Genomic DNA, 24,621 nt, shown 5'->3' on the forward strand with positions numbered 1-24,621 from the left:
TCAGCCATTCATTTCTAAGACATAACTGTGAATGCCTAATCAAAAAAGAAAAAAAGAAAAATTTACAACCTTAAACCATTTTCTCTAAATAAGCAGTTAAGAACCAGGAAATGCTTTAAGGACCAGGTGGGTGGGCGGGGGGGAGGGGGCGAACAAAAGAAAACATGCTGTATTTGCATTGTTTCTACAGATCCTCTTTTCCAACCACTGGGAATGCCTCAATGGGCAAGGCATCCAGCTTAGGACCTGGCACCAGCACATATTATGGGATGCTGCTTCCTTGGTGCTTGTGGAATAAATTCCTACTTTTTGGTCACTGTGGTCCATTAGGAACCTTCTGGCTTGAACCTCCTTGTTCAGACTGGTCTACAGGGTTGAGCTTGACAGTGCCTCCTGCCCCAGCCTCCTGTGCCCGCTGGCCTGCTGTGCCAGTCTTTCTAGCTGTCACTTGGAGTGCTTGAGCCAGAAACTGATATGATAAGGACACTTAAATGCTGGTTCAGCTCTGGGTCTCACATGCCCCCCCACCCAGGGAGATTGTTTAGTGGATTGAGGCTGCATGAAAAGATATAAAACAAACATGTGCTGTTTATCAACACAGTAGGGTTTCCATTCTTAGAATGTTAAAGTGGTCATGTATTAAAGATCTCTATCCCAACCAACCAGCTAGCCAATATTTACTGAGTTCTTGCACTTTGCCGGGCATTTTAGAAACGTGACGACTGAAATCCATGGAAGTTGTGTGAGTTCTTTTTTTTTTTTTTTTTTTTTTTTTTGAGACGGAGTCTCGCTCTGTCACCCAGGCTGGAGTGCAGTGGCGTGATCTCTGCTGTGTGAGTTCTTTTTATTAGCTCAGTTGGCACCTTTGCCTAGAGAGATACCTGCTCAATGCAGGTCCCTCCATCCTGCTTAAAAGGATCATTAGAGCCTCCTCTTTTCATATTGCTCTTCTAAGATCACTACATACGGAAGACCACGACATAGGGACTCTTGGGTAAGTGCTGAATCCATATTGAGCCCTTAGCTGCTGGAACTGAGGGTCTTAGCCCAGTGAGGATGTGAGATTTTTAACCTATGGAGTGGATGTGTGGTTTTCCCATTTAGCCTCAGTCCAGATGTACATTCGCAAGGAAAGAAGGCACCTACCTGCTATTACCGCAGGTGTTAATTGTCCCTGATAAGCAGCCAGGGCCCTGTTCCAAGGCAGGCAACGTCTAGACACAGTCCTTGGCCTGAGAGAGCAAGAAGAAGAAACCGTCCAGTGGAAACTCACTCTGGAAAGGCCCTTGAACAATGTACTCCTCATTCAGGACCTGTCTGGACAAAGTGATGTGTTTTTATCAGTCTGGCAACATTTCTTACAAGTCCATAAGGCCCAGGTGATGAAAACAGCATGGTGTGAATGTATTTAGTGCTTTTTCTCTTCTGTTTTAAGAAAAAAAATTATTAACATGGAATGCAAGTGTGTTCCTACTTGTCATTCTGAGAATTTTTCTTCTTCTTGACTCCAGCCTTTCCAAATAATTAATTTTATTTGCCTGATGCACACATAGTGGATTAAGAGTTTTATGGTAAAGATATTCTCCGAAATTAGTGGTAGCAATTATCTCTCAGGAAGGGCCTGCGATGGGCAGGAGACTCACTTTTTATTGAATATTCTATAATATTTGAATTAAATTTTCCCAAATGCATCTCTTTTTCAATTAAATAAACTTAATTAAAACATCTTTTCTAGTAGAACACAAGGGATACCTATGCTGATAATATTACATGCACTGTGCTGACTCAGTATAGGATCATTTAGATTACCATACCCCAGTTCTACTTAATAGCTGTATGATGCCGCCAATTAGTTCAACATCCCAAGCCTCAATTCTCAAATCTGAACAGTAGAGATGAGGTTGATTGCTTATCTCACGGAGTATTATAAAGGTGAAGTGAGGCAAGGATATCACTCTTCCCTGCATTAAAATTACATTGCCCGCCTCCCCTGTGAACCCTGTGTACCTCCATAGCAGGAAATTCATCTTATGTATCTTTACGTGCCCAAGTCCCCCAGCTCTGCTCTGAAACATTCTGATAGGAAGGGCCATTCTGTCATATTATTTATTGCTATATCTCTCTAGTGCCTGGAACCGTGCTGAGCATAGTATACGTGCTGTGTAAATGTTTGTCGAGTGCACTTATGCGTGGTAGGAGGTAGTTAATTGATGGTTGAACACTGACTTGCTGAAATGACTTACACATGTCCTGTCTCACCCCTAGTGGTTAGTGCTAACAAATGTCTCGGCTTCAGAGAAGATACACTATGGAGTATACATTCCTTTTGCTTATTAGTACTTTATTAGTTTTTCATCAGCTAGCCTGTCATGCATTGGCCTCAGCATCTATCAACAGATCTTGTCATTCTGCCTCCCCCTTCCCATCAGAGGATGTCTCATCAGTGGACATCTTGTTAGTGAATACCTCGTTATTCCTTCATCAGACCTTCTGTCATTTTCTCAGCTGCGTTGATGAGAAATCCCAGACTTCATGGGAAAGGTCAGGAGTTGGCAAATGAGAGCTAGACAAGATTCAGTAGTGACATGCAGTGGTTGTCCTGTGGGATGAAGGGCTTTCGTGAGTGATACAGTAGGTATACACAACAGTTAGTTCCCCATGGAATTCATGGATACGGGGCCAGGATTACATGCACCACCAGCCAGAAGATGACACCAGGTCAGCCTGGCCAGGCTGTGGGTCGGATCACAGCCCTTGGCAGTAGGTTTGAATGAGGTGGCACTGGAGTAGGCATTGCCTGGCAGTGCTCCCCATCAGCACTGCGCAGCTGGGGACCTGCTGCAGAAGGGCCATGCTCACACTGCTCAGCAGCTGTAGCTGTCAGCCTCTATCATGGATTCTGATAATCGTCCAGATTAACTGAAATGTGCAAAATAGGTTGGTGCCTTATGGTATGTGGTACGTGGACCGTCTCAGGCACTGGTTATAGGGGCAGATTCCTGGATCCCACCCAGACCTTCTGGGAGAGGCTCTCTGGGGTAGGGCTTCGTAAGTATCAGCTTTAACATGCTCCAGTCTGTGCTAAATCACAGGAAAGGTGGAGAGCCATGCTGGACTAGCTGGGAGTCTGGTTTTTGGAGCTGACAGACCTGGACAGGTTCTAGGCTGTGCCACCTGCTAGCTGTGTGATTGTGGCATGCAGCCCTGCTCAGCCTCTGCATCCTCCTATACGGTGAAGACCATGACGATGGTGTCCGTCTCATGGAACTGTTAGGATTAAGTGAGATAATGTATGCAGGGCATCATAGCACAGCATATGGCCTAACACAGGCAGCTAAGAGTATAGCTGGTTAGGCAGTGATGACAATGATGATGACTATCCGTGGAGAGGGGAGTGGTTTTAGTAATTCTGCTCCACGCAGCATTAGAAGAGTAGATGCTTGAGTAGTGTTGAAGAGATGATGAATTATTGGCCATTTTATTGACAAACAGAACACCAAAAACCAAAGATACTCACTCCCTGGATTAGATGTCACCGTAGTCTGTGTATCAACAAAATCTCCAAAGTGATTTGGAAGGACACTTTGAGTTTGGCAGGGGATAGATGCTGGTGAGTGAGTTGGAGAACTAATGCAGGTGCATCCCAGAAGCAATAGTTGGAGCTTCTCCCAATTGTCCCTCAAATGCATTAGTCCCGACTGAAATCTGGTGGTTTGTGTAATGTTAAAAACATTCTTTTACTTTTCATCCTGGATGCATCTATGGCCTGCATTTGAGCTCCTACCTAAAGTAGTTCTGTCTGGCAGAGAGCAGAAGAACACTCCAAGTGTGGTCTATGGCTCTAAGCTCTGAAAGCCTCATCATTTCCTTATGGGGATAATTAAAAACTCTTTTAAAGCCTCTGAAACTCTCTTATTGAACCCTAATAAATATCAGTGGCTTTATTTGCCACAACTTACTAAAAAGCAGAGCAGTGGTTAAATGAAAAGATTTATGATATTTGCATTGTTTATTTTGAAGCATCTAATTAAATAATTAGTTCAGTCTTCTAGCTGTTTTTAGAAACAAGTCTTTAGAACCCTACAGAGAGATTTTCTGGGCCCAGGAACTCATTTGGGGAAGTGATTGGCCTTTGAACAGTAAGTAGAAAGTCATCAAGGTAGCTCTGCCCACCTGGTGTTTGCTTATGGAAACCATCTGCTGGTTAAAGTTCCTGGCTCAGAACAGCCCTAGCCAGGCAGTCACAGCCTGCACAGAGGTGCAGTGATGGCCATAGTGTGCCGAAGGGGCTGATCGCTTCAAGAGCGTCTGGAAAGTTGATGGTCTATCTGTCACTGCGATCTTGACATCCTGTGTGGTTCAGTCTGGTTGCAGTTGGACTCATGCTGGGTCTGGCGGGTAGGTGAGAATCTCTACCTTGCTGTTGCTGTCCAGGTTTCAAGGCAAGCGTGAGAGTAGTCCTACACAGAGGAAAACACACATTAGGCTCAAGCACCTGCCTGTGCTTTGCTGCTGCTTGTTTAAAGGAGTGCTTGGAAATGCCAGCTGCCCAGCCTCTAGAGAGCTGGGGGGATGGACCCCTATCCTGTGAGAAGTTGAGTTTGAGGATACACCTGACCGCTGAGGGATGCAGAGCACACCTACGCTAGCTCACTTTTACACAACCCGATAGATTTCTTGATGTTATGCACTGGATAATTCCCTTGTGGCCCAGTCACCTTCCCTTTTGTAGGGATGGCCTGTCTATGTGATAGAAAGTACTCAAGCCATGGAATCAAGTGGATGTGAATTCCACTGCTGAACCTGCCACACACTGACTTTGGGACTGAGCGAAAGCGTTTCTGAGACTCAGCCCTTCTAACTCTCACAGGAGGAATGGAATAGCTAATTGCACCCAGTGAGGGTTAAAAACGTCTTGTATGTGAAAGGAGATAATGCCACACCAGGTGTGCTCAGGCTGTGTCTGTTAGCAGCTGAGTTGCTCTGTCGTCTCATGCTTGGGCGTGCTGTTAGGTAATTTGCTAATCTGTTTTTTATAAAGCCTAGAAAGCAACAATCAGAAAATATTAAATTCAGAGGTTAATTAGGTCTCTCACATAAGCCAGGTTGTGCTGGAGTTGCCTAAAAATTTTGCATCCTTTCTAACTTCTGCACTTCGAGAAAGAGCAGGGCCTGTTCGCCATCCTGGTTCTAAGAGCAGATGGTCTGCCTGACCAAGAGCTCAGAGGTGACATTAGTTAAAGATCCATGACATAAGCTACAGCTTCTATGAGCGCCAGATTGACCTTTGTTAGAATGAATGAGTTTTACTGGACTTTGGTACAGCTACTGAGTTAGTTCAAGAGCACAGGTGCTTTTTGGTTAGAGGCATATTAGGTCATGAGCTTGCTAGAAGTCAATCTCTGTGAGTCTTTTTCCCACAAATAATGAGTGCTGGGGTTCATGCTGGTGACTGTTTCCTACTTTGATCTGGCATATGTCTGCCTGATCCAGCCCTTTCTGTGCCCAACACTCCTTGTGTCTTTAAGATGAGCTGAGTAAAAAATTCCAGCAGGAAAAAAACGACAACAATTTCCTATTCATTTAAATGACTGCCGTTATTGTTAAAGACTCAACTCTTTTTCAAAACTAGATTTCCAGTGCCCCAAAAGACAAAACATAGTGAGCGTAATAAACAGGATAGATGTGTCTAGTGCAGAGAGAATCATCAGAATTACTAATGAAGCTTCTTCATTAAGCTACCACTCCAGTCCAGAAAGGGAGTTCCCCTCTAGGGAAAGCCCCCAAATGTATCCTTTTAGCAATGTCTCCCTTTATTTGATCTCTGTTTTAGAGAACCAGAGTCCTTTACTTCAACAAAATAATTTCTAAAGGAAGTAGCAGAAAGGCTCGTTAATTGATAGTTTGGGAATTGTGCTGCATTGAATTATATAACCTGGAATGTCATATTATACCGATTTAGCACTCACATGCATTGCACAACAGTTTATAAACGAACTAAGCAACATTTCCACTGACACGCAGGAGGACTACAATATGTCTGTGGTGTAACATTTAGGACAATACCTTTATATATATGTTCTCAATGAGATAAAGGTCAGTTTCATGGTAGGTGCTGCTAAGAATAAGGAAGAGAGATTGTTCTCTTAACACCTGTCTAGTTAATGTGGAACTTGGTTGGAGAACCCATAAACACAAAATATTCAGGCATTGTTCCATAGTGAAAAGACGACAGCTTTCTACCATGGCAGACTCTGAGCTTGAGTTGAAGGGACATTGGATGGATATATGGCTGGAGTATTGAGGCTGGGAAGTCCTCTCTTACGTTGAATCGGGGAAGACTGCAAAGAAAAGGTCGGGGAGAGAACAAGATGGGGTGGATGTCAGATGTTGTTTTGGGGGAGAACAGAGGAAGAGGAGTCACTGAATAGGGATAGTGTGGAAGGAGGCTTGCCTCATGGTGAGTGGCAGAAGGGCTTGGGTTGTATGTACTAGAATGGCCTTGCATAGGAAGGGAGGAGCAAGGGAAGTGGATGATTTAATTGACGCTAAGAACCTCTCGCAGATTTTTAGAGGCCTTAGAATTAGTAGGCTTTTCTGAAAATTAGAAGAACTGGAGAGGGCGTGGAGGAAGGAAAGTAGTATACTTCTTTTTCCTGTTCTGTAAGTTTTGGGGCATCATGCATTAAATTATTAAAATAATCCCCAAAGCATAAAATTAGGGTATTTTGGGATTACCATGAGTATTTTACCCAAGGAAGAGCGATCCAAGCTCTACTAGTTTATAGGGTAGTACCTCAAAGACTGTAAGTTTATTTATTTTCTAAATTTTTGGAAGCATCTCTTTTCAGAAGAAAGACTTTAGAAAGAGCCATACTGACAGCCTTGAGGACTTGGTGATTTCGAACCTACAGGTCAAATGTCTCCGATGGGTCCAGAAAGGTTGCCTTTTCTAAAGAAGTCGGCTCGGTAAACAGGAGGACCCAATCACAGGTGCCATTGCTTGAATGAACTTGAGAGCAACCCCATACTTGGTCCCTAAATGACCCACTAGCAAAACTGAAAGACCTTTTTTTCTTCCTGCAAACACATACACACATAACACATAATTCAGATTGCTATATTTCTTGAAATGGCTTCCACTGGGGTTGACATGGGTCTGATTTGATCAAAACCTGGACCCAGCAAGTGAGACCTCCCTGGAGCTCAGGCTTTATGGTAACACAGACTGGGGTTCGTATCCCCCTTTCGCCGCCAGGTTGTGCAGTGCCCCAAAGGCAAGTCACCTATTCTTTCTGAACTCCAGTTTGCCCTGCTGTAAAAACAGAATCATAACACTTGTTCCATGTGGGTTTTGTGAACATGAAGTAATGTTTATGAAGTATCTAGCTGAGTTGCACATTCAATGAGCTAAAAAAATAAATTGCAGTTAAGATGTTTTCGTTTTAAATTCCTTGACTTGTGACCTCCTTTCTAAACTGGCATACTACAATCATCTAGATTCATTTTTACAGGTTTTGGGGAGTCAACATTGACACTGAAATCATAAATCAGGTTTAAAATTCTGTGTTCAACTTGGTAGAACATAAGGGTTTTATACACACATGCACAGAGATAGGTATAAGTTGTTTTCTCAATGATGTTTTTCAGTGATATTGGCAAATGTGATTATTACGCCTAGAAAACAATAACTGGGACCATAATCGTTTATATGATATATGTGAATGTAAAACTGAAACTAAAAGCAAATCCTTTCAAAAAGCAAATCTGCTTTGGATAGCATCAGTCATGGTCAAAAAGGCAGATCAACGCCCTGTCTACCAAGAAGAGCAATATTTCAGCTAGGAAACTCTATTTGAAGAGATTTTATGGATTTCTGATGTGTAAAATGATTTTGTATCATATTGTAGATGGAGTCATTTGTAGAGAGAATGAAAAATATATTACTTCTGACATGTTCTTTTTAATTGAAATGACATTTGTACACTCTGATATTTCTCTGTGCCAATGTGTTTTTCTTCTCACTGACCGCAGCCATCATCCAAGTCAAGGTCAAGGGCTGCATGCTGTCCCAAATGTTATGCTCTGCCGAGCCGTCCCCTGAGTTACAGTTGGGAAGTCTGCAAACCTCTGCCTCACTCACCATCAGAATATTTTCTGGAGGAACAACTCTAGGATTGAAATAAGCAAGAGCCAGTTCTGCTGGGGTCATAGTCCAGGGCCCACAGCTCAACCACGAGAGAACAGATACAAAGTGTCCTGGGCTCCTTCACATCTCTGTCATTCTGTCACTCAGGAGCCTGGTTAGGTGACTCAGGTTCTGAGCAGTACCCTGGGTTAACTCCTGCCAGCCCACTCAGTTTCTGAGCTGCAAAAGCCAACTCGAGAATGTCTCCAGCACGGCCTGATGCTTGTTGTACAGCCTGTGCAATAAGTAAACCAGGGATTCGTGTGTCAGGAAGACAGCAGGCTTTGACACCATGGTGCCATTTGGATTTGGCTCTACCACTATGATCTGTGTGATCTTAGGCAGGTCATCAAAGGTCAACAAGTCTCAGTTTCCTTCCAACATTTTGAATGACAGTACCCACATCCTTCAAAGGTCTGTCTAAATGGGATGGTGCATGGACAGAACTTACCTCCTTCTAAAAGCTTCCTTAATGTTAGCTACTATCAGTGTGGAGTTGTAATGAGGACCAAAGAGAAGTAACATGAAGCAATACAAAGCTTGTCCCACAGATGTTTCTTTCCTGAAGTCCTTTCTGTTTAGTTCAGATGGGCAGGCGATGTGCAATGAGGGAAAGGTGTGCATTCATCCAATAGAGGCATTTTCCAAAGCCCCGTGCTCATGGAGAGGGACAGTGGCACATGGAAGTCTTATGGAGAAGTGCCATGTGGGCTGGACTCCCCCAGACTTCATTGTGTAGCTCCTCCCTGCAATTTCACCGCACTCTTGACAGCCCAGAGTCAAGCAAATGGGAGATGGCGGAGCAGGTACCTTGAGCCCCTCTAGGATAAACTACCACATGACACTTAGGATCTTTACTTTTCATTATATCTGCAACACTCAGCACAGGACCCTGGAAAGTTTTTGTTGAATTATGGGATGCTAGACTGCAGAGTAGATACTCAGGTGATCTATGTAACCTATTCAGTGTTTCTCTAAAGTGTTTCAAATAACGTTACTCTTGGAAGGGGCTCCATTAAAACAACACCAATAAAATATATGGTCTTGATAAAGCTCCCTTTTGGAGAATGGTGATGCACGTTAACATATTAAAGCCCCTAGGCAGTTCTGCACAAAGAAACCAGTTTAACTGCATTCAGTCCAGCGTTTCTCAGTTTCATTTGGTCTAGGGACCCTTTTTCACTTCTTCCTAGGACACTTATTAACAGCTCATGCATATTAGAACCCATCAATCAATGGCATATTGATTGGTGTTAGTATATAATAATAAATCCTTGTGCATTTTTATGTAATTATTAGACTTCTGTGTAGGCATTTGCTTCCTGTTACAGTGCCATTGTCCTTACCTGTCTGCAAAACAAAATTCATTTAAATTTTTCTCCTGTAACTCTGTTGTTGATGTCAGTGGGGATCAAATGTTCGGCTGGACTTAATTTTTTATGAGCCCTGTTGATCTTTCTGCATGATGACCCCTCTGCCGCATGAAGCCCCAAGCCCAGTAATAAATGATGGGCTGAGACTCACTGGGCAGTCTCAGGGGGCCCTGATTGTTTTCACAACTGTCTCTATGATCCAATCAACTTTGTTCTGAAAAAATAGCTGGGATTCCCCCTACTCCTCACCACCTCCATCACCAGCTGGCTGTTCCAGTCCAAGCCATCATTGTGTCTTACATGGATCTTCACAGTAGCCATCTAAACAGACTGTTCCCAGCACAGCAGCCAGTGCGATCCTGCTAAAACCCAAGTCAGATCAAGTCAGTCCAATGCCTGGAAAATACCAGAATCCTCACAATAGCCTTCAAGGCTCTACATGACCAGGGCCCCTGCCACACTCCTCTTCTCTCACTGGCTATAGCAACCCCGGACATCTTGGTCTTCTGGAATGCTCCGGGCAGGGTCCTATCCCATGACCATTGCATTTCCTCTCCTTTCTACCTGGGACGCTTTCTCTCAGATATCCAAATGGCTCTCTTCCTCACTTATTTCCCACATCTGTCAAATGCCATCTTACCTTATGATCAAATCAGGGTAATTAGCATAGCTCTTACCTCAAACATTCATCATTTCTTTGTTGTGGGAGCACACAAAATCCTCTTCTCATGCTATTTTGAGATTACAATGCCTTATTGTTGACTGTAGTCACCTTACTGTCACATGTATGGAAACATCACATTGTACTCCATAAATATGTACAATTATTATATATCAGTTTTAAAAAAAGATAAAAATTTAAACACATGCTTCTTAAAAAAAAAATTCCATCTTATCAGAGAGGCTTACCTGGGTCACCCTATGTAAAATGCAAGAATCCCCCACTTCCTTGACAGTTATTCTCTCTCTCATTCCTTGCTTTTTAACCCCCTTGGCGCCATCAGTGCCTGCCCTGTGATGTATTTATATTGTTATTTACTGACTCACCTTCTCAAAGGAATGTTAGCTGTGCTAGGGCAAGGGCTCAGCTTTGCCAAGGGCAGCATCGCTGGCTCCTAGCGTGGTGCTTGGCCTGCAGTCACAGCCCAGGACCTGACCATTGAATGGGTGAGTAACGGCAGTGGCTAGCAGCCCTCTAGTGATGTGAACAGAGCGAGTTATACGCAAGAGGTTGTGAACATCAGGGAACCTCTCAATTTGCTGTGTTATTTGGAATGGCTCAGCCTGGCAGCTGTCCCCAGGGTCACAGACTGCTGCTTCTGAGTAAACTTGTCACAGCTGAAGGTGAGAGCCAGCGAATCACCAGCACATGAGCGGGGACTGAAGCCTCAGAGGAGAAGGAGGGTGGTGCAAAGACAGCCCAGAGAGGAAGAGACAGAAGGCGGAGCCCTGCAGAGCCTCGGGCAGCAATGCAAGCAACCCACTGTCACTGAGGTTGCCTTTATGTAATAATCAGTGCCGTTTATTGCATGAGTGCATCTTCTGCTGTCCTTGTTGCCTCTTACAAAGACCATTGTATTTTCATCTTCTCAGTTACAAGCCTTTGAGATTGGAGCAGCTTGCACGTGAGCAAACAGCTCGCCATTAGGAATCAGTCTGGATAAGAGCAGGAAAGGGCTCAGCTTTCTTGGGCTTTTCTTGCCGTGAAATGAGCAAATTGAAAGTGAAGGTTTTCAAGGTCCCTTCCCAGCCCACAGTTCTGGGAATTTAGTCACCTTGAAGCCAAGGGAGCATGTGTGTCACTCATTTCATGACTCAGAATAGCAGGCACTTCAGAAATACATAAAGCCAGACCCAGAGGTGGTGTTGGCCTTGTGGAAAGTGTCCCCTTCCCATCGCTGACCACATTGCTCTAGAAATTGTTTTCCTTGGAGTTGATGTAGACTGTGATGAAGAACCTTGTACAGGTACATGGTTTTCCCCTGTGAGAGCACTGGCTCACACCCGGAATCCCAGCACTTTGAGAGGCTGAGGTGGGCAGATCCCTTGAACCCATGAGTTCAAGGTCAGCCTGGGCAACATGATGAAATGCTGTCTCTAATTTAAAAAAAAAAAAAAAAAAAAAGGCTCAGACGAGGCTTAACTCTAGGCCCTGCTCGACTGAGGTAGAAACATCCTCAGAGCATCCCCAAGGAGCTAGAGAAAGAACAAATAAATCACCAGTGAATACAAAGATGAATAACTTCAGAGAAGTACTTCATGAAAAAGAAAATGGCATTTGTTGAATGTAAAAGAACAACTGCGGTAGCAGGTTATGGATCAAAGCTCTCACAGCCTGAAAATTAAAAGACCCTGCGTCACACGGTCCTCCAGGGAAAATAGCCAGTGGCCCCACAGTTCTGGCTACGAGGCTTCAGCTTCCAGAGAGAGGGAGACTGACATCTCCACTGGACTAGAAGAAAGGAAGCCTGTGTGCAGATGGGTGGCTTTGCATGTGGCAGACCTTGAAGCTAGGGGGAGAGAGCCATCTTTCTAGACTTGTCAAAGGGCAAGACCGGGCCCTTCTCAGCATAGAGGGAATGTGAACTTGGACTCTAATTACTCATCAGTTCTCTCGGCAGCATGGATTGATATTGGTATCTCATTTCGTGGATGAATAGAGAGGCTCATAGATGTTGAGGCTTGGTTTGAGTCACACAGGTGCTGCGGCCAAACGCCTCTGATGTTCCTGCAGTACGTGGCCTATTCTTTGGGCCAGGTGCTGTGTTGGCTGCCATGGTGATCTGACCTCAACCCTACCAGCCGTTTTGGATAGTGGTGACCCCTTTGTGGCAGAAGGTGACATGAGATTTGTTCCTGTGGTCTGATGTGCCCGAGGAGCACAGCACAGGGAGCCTTGAAACAAGGTGCCCCAGCCACCCGCCGAGTTAGGTTACACTTCTCAGCTGATGACTTAAAGTATTAAGAAGAGACAAACAGGCATTCTTCAGTGATACAGAAAATGTCACTCACAATCAAACATTCTTTCTTGTTTTTAAATCCAGCTGAGCTATAGACCTGTCATAAAATCATGGCATCTAAAAGGCCCTTTAGAGGTCCTGCTGGCAGGGGATGTTGAGGAAGGATTTGGACTTTGAGTCAGACCTGTGGGGTTTAATTCCTGGACCTGCGCCATGCAGTTCAGTGACTGGACAAGATGCTGAACCTCTCTGAGCCTCAGTTTCTCACCTTGTGAGATTGCTCAAGAATATGCTGTCCTAATAGGTGACAGAGGTCAGGCAGGAATTAAGCAGGTTTTTCTATGTAAAAGGCTGAGCGTACAGTAGGTTTTCACCAAAAATAGGTGACCTCCCCTCGCGTGGTCACTCCCACCCCCATCTTTTCTGGACCAGGAGGGCACAATCTTACCCCCAGTGAGCAATGCTAAGGCCTCTTTATCTCCCCAGATCCAGGCTAAAGCTTAAACCTGAGCCCATTTTCCTTTGTCTCGGCTGGCACCTTGGCAGGGGAGAAATATATGGAGGAAAATCAGTACCTTTGTTTCCTCCCAAGGAAAAGAAAATGCAGAAGCCTGATGGGCGTCTCACCTAGATCACAGTTCACTGGGCCACGGGGGCAGTGGACCACCTGCGGCTCTTTTAAGTGCAACTCCGGTTCAAGCCAAATACCTGGGCACAGATGTGAAGCGTGGGTGGCAGAGAGGCAAAGAAAGAGCTGGAAAGAAAACTGGCACTCTTCGGAGGGCTGCAGGAGTGAGAATGCCCCGTGATTAGGGTTTCCTTCTAGGCCCGTATTTTCAATTACAGTCATAATTTATTGCTATTATGGGCACCAAACTATACTTGCCATGGGCTTTGCATACACAGGAAATGAGCCAGCATTTAAACACTACTCAGAAAAAGGGGCCTAATGGCTAAAAAGCAGTGGGAAAATGGAAACCTGCCCTCTCCTCCTTGTCACAAAACACCCACCTCTTCCTCCTCCACTTGTCCACTAAAACACTTGCCTTTAAAAATCAAATTAACAACATTTATTGCTTATACAACATTTATTGGGTGCCTAGTCTGCCAGGCTATATGGTGGAAGTGGTGAGGAAAATGGGGCACTTTGAGGATATTGTCCTTCTCTGTGGAGGGAGAAGGGTGGGAGGTTTTCAGGTCCCAAGCATTCTGGGAACTCAGCGTCATGGCTTGGCAAGGAGACAGAGTAGGCATTGAGGGAGGTGGAGGAGGAGGGTAAGGAGGATCAGGCCTGGATCTGATGTGGAGGGAACTGAGCTAGCTGTGAGTGTAAGTCCTTCCTAAGGGGAAAAGCTCCACTGTTTGGTTTGCAGTCCCCCAAAAGGCTGATGCATTCTTTCTTGGTTCCATGGCTAAGCTTAAGGCATGGCTTTCAGAAGCCTTGGACAGCAGAGAAATACTGGGAAGCAGGGGCACCACCATTTCTAGTTTCAGGTGGGAGAGCTCTTTGGAGTGATGTCCTACTGATGAGCAAGGTCCATCCTTGGGGGCTTGGGCAGGCAAGAGCTAGGCATAGGAGTGAGCAACTTGGTACATTTAATGCCAGGAGCTTTCCGTAGGTCCTGTTGGCGGGTGTATTCATCCATTTTCATACTGCTGTGAAGATACTACCTCAGACTGGGTAATTTATAAAGGAAAGAGGTTTAATTGACTCACAGTTCCACATGGCTGGGGAGGCTTCAGGAAACTTACAATCATGTCAGAAGGCGAAGAAGAAGCAAGTACCTTCTTCGCAAGGCAGCAGAAAGAGAGAAAAGCCCAGGGGGAACTGCCACTTCTAAACTATGAGATCTCGTGAGAACTCCCTCACTATCACGAGAACAGCATGGGGGAAACCGCCCCCATGATCCAATCACCTCCTACCCAGGTCTCTCCCTTGACACATGGGGATTACATTTCAAGATGAGATTTGGGTGAGGACACAGCCAAACCATATTGGGTTTAGGACAGCTTTCACTCCCAAGGGAGAGGCAGAACAGTAAGCAAGCAGGAAGATGGCCAGAACCTAGAGTTTACACATGGCAGTGAGCGTGGGGTGTGAACAGGCTGCTAAGGGTAACTGTTGTGGGCATTGCCCAAGCATTGCTGATGATAAGACTGGTCCAGTCCCTGCTTGCTGGTGGGGCCCAGGCTCTGACCCCATTTGCTCAATCAGGAAGGCCCGAGCTTATAGGAACATGGCTTCAGAAACAGGGGCCAAGAAGAACTGGTGAAGGCAGGAGCTGATAGCTGGAAAAGTAAGACATAAGAAAAATACGAAATGGAAATTTAAAATAAGGTACAAATGATTTGGCATGTGGTTGGTCACCAAATGAATTGCAGAGACACTCCTCAGAGGATTAAAGTAGTGGGCAGAAAGGATTTCAGGATAGGGCACTCCAAGGAGGAGATGAAATTTCTGCTAGACATTATAGGGTTTTATCAAACCCCAAGAAGAGAGTTAGACATTCTGGACAGGAAGATGATGTGCAAAAAGCCCAAAGATGTAAGGCTGGGAGATAGCAAACCAGGTCTTGATGTTGCAGATTTGTTGTATATATATTTATATAGATAGATAGATAGATAGATAGATAGATAGATAGATAGATAGATAGATTAGATAGATAGATAGATAGATAGATAGATGTTATAGATATATATATTATGTATTTGATATAAACTAATGCATATCAAACATTGTTTTTTTGGTAGAGATGAGATCTCACTGTGTTTCCTAGGTTGGTCTTGAACTCCTAGCCTCAAACAATCCCCCCAACTCAGCTGGGATTATAGACTTGAGCCACTGAGCCCAGCCTGAAGAAGGCTTTGAAGGCTAAAGGAAGGAATGTCGTCCTGATCCCTTGGGATCTAGGCAGTGGCAATCTCTATGGCCTTTGTAAGTTGACATGGAGGTAGGTAGTGTGCAGCACGGGACAAAGAGATGGGACGCAGAGAGACTAGTGTGAAAGACTATTGCATGGCTTAAAGAATGAATTAATAAGGGGCTGCATCAGGATACTGACTGTGAAATGGAGGAGAGAGAATGAATTCCAGAGAGTTATCAAAGCAAGGATGGATGGGACATGAGGAAGAAGACCACAAAGACAGGGGGAGTGAGTGACAGATGGTCACAGTCATAAAAGGAGGAGGAGGAGGGAAAGATTGGGGGAGGATGGAAGATGAACTTCGGGCCTGTGGATTTGAGGTGGCAATGAGAATCCAAATGCTTACATCTCAAAGTGAGTTATGTGGGATTAAGATAAAGACTAGGGCTTGATCGCACATTTGAAAATTTTCTCTGTAGTGTGGATCTCTCTAGAAGTCACAAGGGAGACCACTTCCTTCAAAGAGAGGAGAAGAAAAGGATACAGAGGATCAGCTACTCAACACCCACTTTTGATGGGCTGAAGAAGGAGAGTGAACAGATAAAGGAGGACTCCAAGGTTAAGAGGCACCATAAAAAGCGACTAGATACCATTTGCAAAGGAGAAAGAGCCCAAAGAAGACAACATCAAACATTAGCAGCTTCAGCTGCTGCAGGGAGATTAGGGAGAATGAGGGTTAAGATCTGGTTATTGGAACTGATCCCTCAAAGGTGCGGATGATCTTTAAGAATGTTGTTTCCATTGAGTTGGAGGAGCTGGGATTGGGGGGGGGTAGGGAAAGAGCAGGTGGCATTGAAAACATCTAAGTAGCAAAAGGAAGCAGGGATCCTTATATAAACTTAAAAAGCTGTAAGTGAAACCAAATTATGTTCCCTGACAGGGAAGGACCTAGTGTTGAACACATGGCAAAGAGAAGAAGCGGTGTGTGAAGCATGTTCTGGAAAAGGCGGGGAAGGGCTGGACACGATGGCGCTCCCCTTCTCAAATCCAGGGGTGGAAGAAAATGGGTGTAGAGGTGGATATTTAGGGGAACAGAGGACTGGAGCAGGGTTGCTGACACAAAATAGCCACTGCTTCTTAGGGATGTTCAATGAGAGGGTGATGGCTGTGGGTGGTAGGGGAGGGTGGGAGAAGGCCTGTGTGGACATTTGGGGAGGAGAAATTCTGGAATGATTCTTGTGGAGGATTGGCTCAGGAGTTCACAGGGATGAGCGAAAAGGGAAGGTGAAGCTACCAGGGGCACATGACACCTCCCAGGATGCTCAGACAGCCAGGGATCTTGTTTGGGTGGTGGGGGTTGCTCCAGCAGACCAGGGTGGAGGCTTGGAGACATAGGCAGAGGTGAGTGAGATAGGGGCCCATCACACTAGCACACTAGCCCACCACATACTCCTGGAAGGGCAGGAGGCTCAGAACAGTTGGAGGTTTGGAGAGGTCGGAGGGAAACTTCTTGATGAAGCAGGCAAGCTGCTGATGAGTGGAGGAGGATGGATGGGAGGTGCCAGCGATGAGATGACAGAGATGGAACGCAGAAGGTGATGATGTGGTTGAGGGCTGGGCTGTGGCTGATGCGTACCCGAGTACAAGGGACTGAGATGGATGGGCTGAAGAAGACAGATGTGAGGCCAGGCCTTGGGGCGGTGACGGGGCTGGCATAGCTGGAAGGGAACTGGGTGGGAGTCAGGGACTTAGGTTTTAACAAACCTGTTGCTAAGTCTTTGTTTGGCCTTGGCCAGGTCACTTGGGTTTCCCTGGTGAGGGGCTGCTGTCAGCACCATCCTTGCATTACTGTGCACAGTAGTCCTTGAGAGCCAGCAGGGGCCCTGGTGATGGTTCAGAGCAGTGACCTTGGGTGCTTCAGCCTCACGTGGTCACACCTCCACAGAACATGGTGCTCCCTCCCTCCTAACCAGTGTTACATCCACGACCCCACCAGCATCTCTCATGGCATCAGAAGTGGCAGCAGGCAGCCATCACCTTGTGATACTGCCACTTCTCTTCCGCAGGGATTGGAAGCTCTGCATTTCAGAGCCAGGTTTCATTCAGTCCCCTCACCAGCCTCCTGGCAGCCTGACCTCAGGTCTGGCAGATAAGGTGGGGCTGCTGTGGTAATCCAGGAGAAGTGAGGCAGGAGGGAGGACTGGCGTCCGTCGGGCCACCAGGAGTGGGGAGCCTGTCTCACCTGTGGGCTGCACCTGAGTGGGTGAGCATGGCATCAGAGGGGATCACGGGGTGGGTTGGAGTGCAGGGATGTCCCCCAGTGTGTTCCCCATTTCAGTCGCCCTCCCAGTCTGTGAATCTAAGAGCCTGGCCACTGAGGCATCCAGGTGCAAGCTGGGTGACCCTCAGTTACGATAATGTGACTGCAGCATCTGATGCCGCTACCATCACTCCCCTGGTGCTGGGCCTGGGACAAGGTGCCATATGGGGAATTTTTTTCCCCCCAGGAGGCTATTTTTAGAGTGCTCCAGCTGAACTGTTGCTGTGAACTCTATGTCTTAACTAGGAGTGTGTGCGTCATTAACGAGGCAGGTGTGTGCGTCCTGGGAGGGGCTGATGCGCGGTTCCTAATGGTAGCATGTGTGGGCTGGCCGGTTGCTGCTTTCAGCCTGCCAGGGTGACTTTGCTCATTGCCTCTCACTTGTGCAGGCAGAGGTTGTGTGTGAGATTTAGGGTGCCCTGGAGTCAAACTATCTGCCTGACTCTTGGCTCTACCACTTACCAGCTCTGTGACCCTGGGCAAGCTATGGATTATGTTTGATGTGTTTCTCAAAGCCTCAGCTTGCTCCTCTGTGACTTGGGGTAGTGAGAGCACTGATTTCATGAAAGTCATAGGGAAATCAAATCAGGTAAAGGCAAAGCATGTAGCTCTTCCATGCTAAGTGTTCAGTAAATATTACTTTCTTCCCCTTCACCCCCAGAGGCTTCCTCCTATTTATAAGCTTCGTTAATCACTGCCATGGCCAAGCCCTGCCCTAGGCCCAGGAGAGCTGGTGGTGTTTAAGGTACGACACACGCTGGAAGCACTCCTTGTACAGCAGGAAACTTGAACTGCATCTTGAGGGATGGTCAAGAGTTTGCTGGGTAGAAATCTAGGGTTGTGGGGAATGATTGTCCTATGACAGAACCCTCCTCTTGAAGCCTATCTACTTTCTAGATTTTAGCTGATCGCCCAGTTTCATGGGCAGGCAGGAAAGGGAGGCCTTTGTCCCTTTTCCCGAGGATGAACTCCAGCCGGTGTGTGTGTTAGATATGTACAGAGCCCAGCAGCCTTGCCACTTGTGGGGTGGCTCCTTTCTACTTGGGTGCCTTATTGTCTGTCGGGTGCCCCACAGCAGAGACCTCAGGGTTTTGGTGGCAACCTGCCCAGATACGGAAGAGGAGAAGGGAGTCAGAGTGGCCTTCATGTCAGGGCAGTGAGGACTGTATCAAAGCCCAAGGCTCGTGGAACCATGTGGGGGAAGCGACATGGATACAGAGCCCTGAGAGAGGGCGCTTCCAAAGAACTGCTGCCTGTTGACCATTCTCTTCCCCTGAATGTGATCCATTTACAAGGTGGGGACAGACTTTTTTCAGTTGTTATATATCTGGGATATGAGCCTCTCTCTGAGTACCTCAAGTTTTTTACCAGCCAAGTAGACTTGTAGCTTCAGTGTATATGCGATGTGTGCATGTGTATATATACACACACACACTATATATACACACACACACACTATATATATATGTAAAGTATATCTGTACTCTATCCATCCATCCATCCATCCATCTATATTTTCCCCCATAGCGCACATTTTTGTAAAGTCCCGAAGCCTCTAGTTTGAAGCAATGCTGAAATCTGTCAACTCAATGGATTAATAGTCTAATCTCAGCCAATTTGTTTGGCAGAAACACTAAATTCCTGAAACCATGTGGGCTGGCCCACTTGACCCCTGTCCTGGGAAAGTGAAAAAATACATCCCAGGTTTTTGGGCTAACTAGCATTGAAAATCAATCCATTTTTATTTTCATTTTCCTACAGTTTCATGGTGGCCACTCTTGACTCCCATTTGTATTCTGTGTGGGTCATGTTGATTAAGGAAGTGAGGAGGATGGATAGACAGTAAGAGGGATGGCACCGTGCATGCACCACCCAGCACTCCCCTACAGAGAGAAAGCTGGCTCTGAGGGTCAGGCCAGTGCCATGAGGCTAGCTGGCTTCTTTTGACATTAGTGCTCAGAAGAGACCTGTTTCCATAGCTTATCCATGTGGGCAGTGGTGGAGAATTTACCCAATCCAGAAGGTAGTATAGTGCATGGTACAGCATTTTCCAAAAACAGATATTCTTCCAAGCCGACTTAGAAATATTTTTAATCATTACATTGTTTCTGTGGTATTTGATAAAGAAGTGAATTTAGTAATAGTGTAAAATTCCTGGCTTCATTGTTGTGTGATCTCATGTAAGTTGCATCTTCTCTCCAAACCACAGTTCTTGCCTAATGAGGAGATGCTGATAATAATACCTACCTCTGAGGGTTGTAGTGAGGAGTAAGTAATATGTCACACGGGTTTTCCCAGACATGTCTAAGTACTCAACAAATGGCAGCCACTATCCCTATCATCACCTGTATGGTTGTGCTTGTTGTCATCATCGCATCCTCACATTTTTGGGTGGCCCAGACTTAGTATGCCCTTGATAGTGCAGCAGAAGGCCTGCTGAATCCCTGATGCAGATGTCACTTACTCTTTTAAGAAAGCATTCCCTAGCCAACCGTGCAGTTAGCCTCTCCCATTCTGTATACATTTCTCATGTACCTATCATACCATTTATCAAACCATCTTTTAACTGTATGTTTGCAGGCCTGCTGTGCCCCATGAGGGCAAGAGACTGTTTCAGAGAGAGACAAAATGAGTAAATAGCTGATGGGTGAATTCATAAACAAAATAATTTATTTTGCTTTCTGTCTTCTCTCACAGACATTTTGCAAGAAGGCAGACACAATGCATTTTGAGAAAACAACCACTCCTACAAGGCAAGAGGGTTTTCCTCCATCCGAGAACTTCCTACACTTAAAGCAAGTAGGCGAAGGTCATAGATTTCCGTAATAGTTTTATTGGAGACTTGGTCTTCATTTATCATTCATGAGAGGCTTACTTAGCTCTTATTACATGCTAAGCATTAAGGTCACAAAAATGAATAAGACACAGCCCTACCCTCAAGAAGCTTCCACTGTGGTGAGAGATGTTCACATACATAGTCGAGGTACTTTTATTGTTAACGATGACTCTGTGCAAAGCAAGCACCAGGGGCACCGAGAACCCAGGGCTAGGGACGCCCGAGGGAGGCTGTGGGAGGCAGAGGAGTGTCAGAGCCTCCTGTGCCGTTCCACCCAGCCTAATACAGTGGCAGCCCTGGTTTCAGAAAGCAAAGGCCAAAGCTGACTTGTGGTCAGATTGTCACACCTGCCTGGAGTGGCAGGAAGGCAAAGCCAATACATTTTATTGCTTTGGCTCTAGATTCAGCCAGAAGGTGTAGTGATGAGGCAGGAAATCCTGTCTGAAACCAGAGTTCCCATCTGTTGGCATAAAATCCTGATGAGCCTTTTAGGGGAGATAAAACATCAGTAATATTCAAGTGATACCAGGAAATTCCCGGCTTTAAAAGGACAAGATTTTAGCAGAGGAAGTTGGATATTTAGAGTTGCATTTTTTTCCAAAATTATTTTTAGCCTCCAGCTATATATAACTTTTCTTGCTGACTTAGGTACAGTATGTGGATTCGACTGATTGTATTTAGGAACAAAAACAGACATTTTAACACCTGTGCGTGTGAACATTCTACATAGGACCTGCTGAGTGATACCTTGTAAGGACCAAGGGTAATAGTCACCCATAAGGAGTCACCAATAGAACTATTAAGGAAATCTATGACCTTAGCCCACTTGCCTTAAAGTGTAGGAAGCTCTCAGATGGAGGAAGAAGCTCTTGCCTTGTAGGAGTGGTCATTTTCTCAAAATGCATTGTTTCTGCCTTATTACAAAACGCTCGTGAGAGAAGACAGAAAGCTAAATAAATTTGTTATTTTGTTTTCGAATTCACCCATCAGCTGTTTACTCATTTTGCCTCTCTGAAACAGGTCTCTTGCCCTCACAGGGTACAGCAAGTCTGCAAACATACAGCTGAAAGATGCTTTGGTAAATGGTATAATAGGTAGTTGAGAAAGGTTTACAGAATGGGAGAGACTAACTGCATGGTTGGTTAGGGAATGCTTTCTTAAAACAGTAGGTAACATCTGCACCAGGGCTTCAAGAGTTGACAGGAGGCTTCCCAGGAAGAAGAAGGGCAGAAAAGGCAGGGGCACTGGGAAGCCTGCAGTGCTACCTGCAGTCAGGGAGTCGTGGGATTCTGGGAAGCCTGCAGTGCTACCTGCAGTCAGGGAGTCGTGGGATTCTGGGTGTCAGAGTAGAGTGGCTTTGTAGCCAGAAGTCATCGAATCAACTGAGTGGATGGTTATGCCAGCAAAACCGTTCACTTTACAGGAGAGGAAGCACAGAGAAATTGAGGGGCTTGTCCAAGGTTACACAAGTCTAGGGAAGACTCACAGCCAGAACTTGGGTCTTAGCTTCTTCAAGTGTGGCAGAAGGGCTTGGCACTAAGTACGCTAAAGCCACCTCGAGGATTCCTTGATATTTCCCTGCAGCCTTACATGCAGCCTTACAAGGATAAACTTCAGCTTAAACTGAATCCACCTTTCTTTACAGAACATACAAGGAAAAGTCTAGTAGCTGTTTGCATCCTAAATGTCCACATTTGTGCCAAACAGCTAGCCTGGTCATATTTTCAAGACTATGGGATTGAAATTTATTGCATTTTTTAAATTATTCTTTTTCATTGTTTGGTACTCTATATGAGAAGAAAACTGGAGCTTTCAGAAAGTATTGCTATTAAAAGGTGAGGTTGAATTTTTTTTCTTTTTTTTTTTTAAGACAGTGTCACTCATTCTGTCACCAGGCTGGAGTGCAGTGGTGGGATCTCAGCTCACTGCAGCCTCTGCCTCCCGGGTTCAGGCGATTATCCTGCCTCAGCCTCCCAAGTAGCTGGGATTACAGGCATGCACCACCACACCCAGGAAATTTTTGTATTTTTAGTAGAGACGGGATTTCACTTTGTTGCCCAGGCTGATCTTGAACTCCTGGCCTCAAGTGATCCAGCCGCCTCGGCCTCCCAAAGTTCTGGGATTATAGGCATGAGCCACTGTGCCCAGCCAAGACTGATTTTTCATAAACAAACTTAACTTTAAAAGTTGAGACAGATCTTACCCTCCTACAGAAACTCATTCTGAAGAGCTGGATCCTTATCCCATTGATCCTTACCCTAGAGGGCTTTTGAGCTCCGTCTCAAGGGGCTAAGATACCTTTTTTTCCAGCTCATAGTGGTGGCAGAAGGTCAGGTTTCCTGAATATCCTGGTGTCATATCCAGAGCCAAGTCCAGTGAATCTGTTGGGCCATGTGGTCCCTGGTTCCTCTGTCTTTTGTGCTTCCAGAACACCCACCATGCCTGGGTGGCACTTAGCATTTAAATCGTCTTTTCCCTATTGTGGATTCACTAGGTTGCAAAACTGTGGACATAGCACAGACTTGTTCCCTAGTGAGTGAAAAACATGAATGAAAAAAGCAAAAGAAACTGATGCAATCCCCACTTCCATACATATCATGGGCAGAGTTCATCTCAGTGTTTTTTTTCTTTTAGTGGAGTCTGTGTGTTCATTTCTAGATACAGTTTGGTAAATAGAAGTGACTGGACAAACAGTAAAAAGGGAGAGGGCTTCCCTCACTTTCATTCCCACTCCCAGGCTTTAATCTTCAGAGGAAAATGAGCCTTGGGTCCAGTGGGAAGTGTATGGACATACTGTGCTGTCTAACTTGCTTTTATAGTGAGTTAGACAGTTTTGGAATTCATGATTAGTCTGTATTTAAGTGGAATTTATGCTACCATGTATTGACGTGTTTGTGTGACGTTCGTGTGTATGTATTCATCCACCCACTCATGTCTGCCTAACAAATGTTTGTTGTGCCTACTATGTGCCAGGTGCTCTCTCAGTCATGGGGATACAGCTTTCAAAAGGCAAAGTCAAAATCTTCATGCTGCTTACATCCTAGTATAAGAGAGACAAAAATTTAACATCTACACAAAGCAAAACAGGATTAGAGGCTAGAGAATTAGTGGGAATGAAGTGTAATGTTTTACAAAAGTAGGCCACGGAAAACCTCTCTGAGAAGGTGACATTTGAACAGACTTGAATGAAGTGAAGGAATGCCCCAGAAAATATTAGGAAACCTACAAATACAAAGGCCTTCCCATTCATCAACCCACCTACCCACCCATCCGTCTACCTACCCATCCATCCTCCCATCCATCCCTCCATCTGTCCTGCCACTCATCCCTCCATCTGTTCATCCATTCATCCATCCATCCAGCCAACCAGCCAGCCAGCCTTCCATCCATCTGTTCATCCATCCATCTGTCTATCCATCCATGCATCTATCCATCTATCCATCCTTCCATCCTCTTAATGGCATGTCCTCATGGTGTGGCATATTGAGAGAGAATGATTACTGTTCCTTAATAGCAGTTTAGTAGACGTTATTTTTCTTAGGTTGTCCTTTTTTTTTTTTTTTGCTTTTAAAAAATTTTTTTCTTGGGTTTTTTGTTTTGTGTTAGAAGAGTGGTATTTTCACTTGCAAGAGATTTTTAAATTCAAGAAGCCAAGAAGCACTTAAGGATACAGGCTCAAAGGTAAGCCAAGCCAATCCCTCCTAAATTTTAAGTTCTTATTTTAAGGCTGTGGATGATACTTCATAGGGTTCTTGAGAGAAATGTATGGGGGACACCATAGGCACAAAAGCTAATTGCAGCAACAGCGATGACACTAATGCTGCTGCTCTTGCTGCTGCTGCTGCTACCACTACTACTACTGCTGCTGCTGCTACTGTGGCTAGCAAACATATCAGTGGCATCCACTTGTTGTTTTGGAGAATGCTAGGCTCTGGGCCAGGCACTTTCCATTCTTGCTTTCTGATTTGTGACAACTCTACAAGGCAGGTATATCCTATTCCACATGTGAGCAAACTGAGGCTGGACATGAGGCTATGATCAATTCTTTTCCTTCCCCAACCATTCCCGTAGCTGTCTCTA

The 24,621-nt window shown here is 45.3% G+C and overlaps 1 protein-coding gene across 3 annotated transcripts in view, besides 1 other annotated feature; it reads left to right on the forward strand.

Moving 5' to 3' along the window:
- The window catches only part of SLCO3A1 (solute carrier organic anion transporter family member 3A1), a 318,728-nt gene that overhangs the window by 147,370 nt on the left and 146,737 nt on the right, over positions 1–24,621 (forward strand). The gene's annotated exons all lie outside the window — the stretch shown is intronic.
- Positions 10,772–11,272: an enhancer, noted in NCBI's record as "H3K4me1 hESC enhancer chr15:92555079-92555579 (GRCh37/hg19 assembly coordinates)". NCBI's record gives its function as "activates a minimal SCP1, AML or CMV promoter by ChIP-STARR-seq in naive H9 embryonic stem cells {active_cell/tissue: H9 hESC(naive)}" and the evidence as "EXISTENCE:reporter gene assay evidence [ECO:0000049][PMID:30033119]".

This window comes from Homo sapiens, chromosome 15 (genome assembly GCF_000001405.40).
Source record: "Homo sapiens chromosome 15, GRCh38.p14 Primary Assembly".
Taxonomy (NCBI): domain Eukaryota; kingdom Metazoa; phylum Chordata; class Mammalia; order Primates; family Hominidae; genus Homo; species Homo sapiens.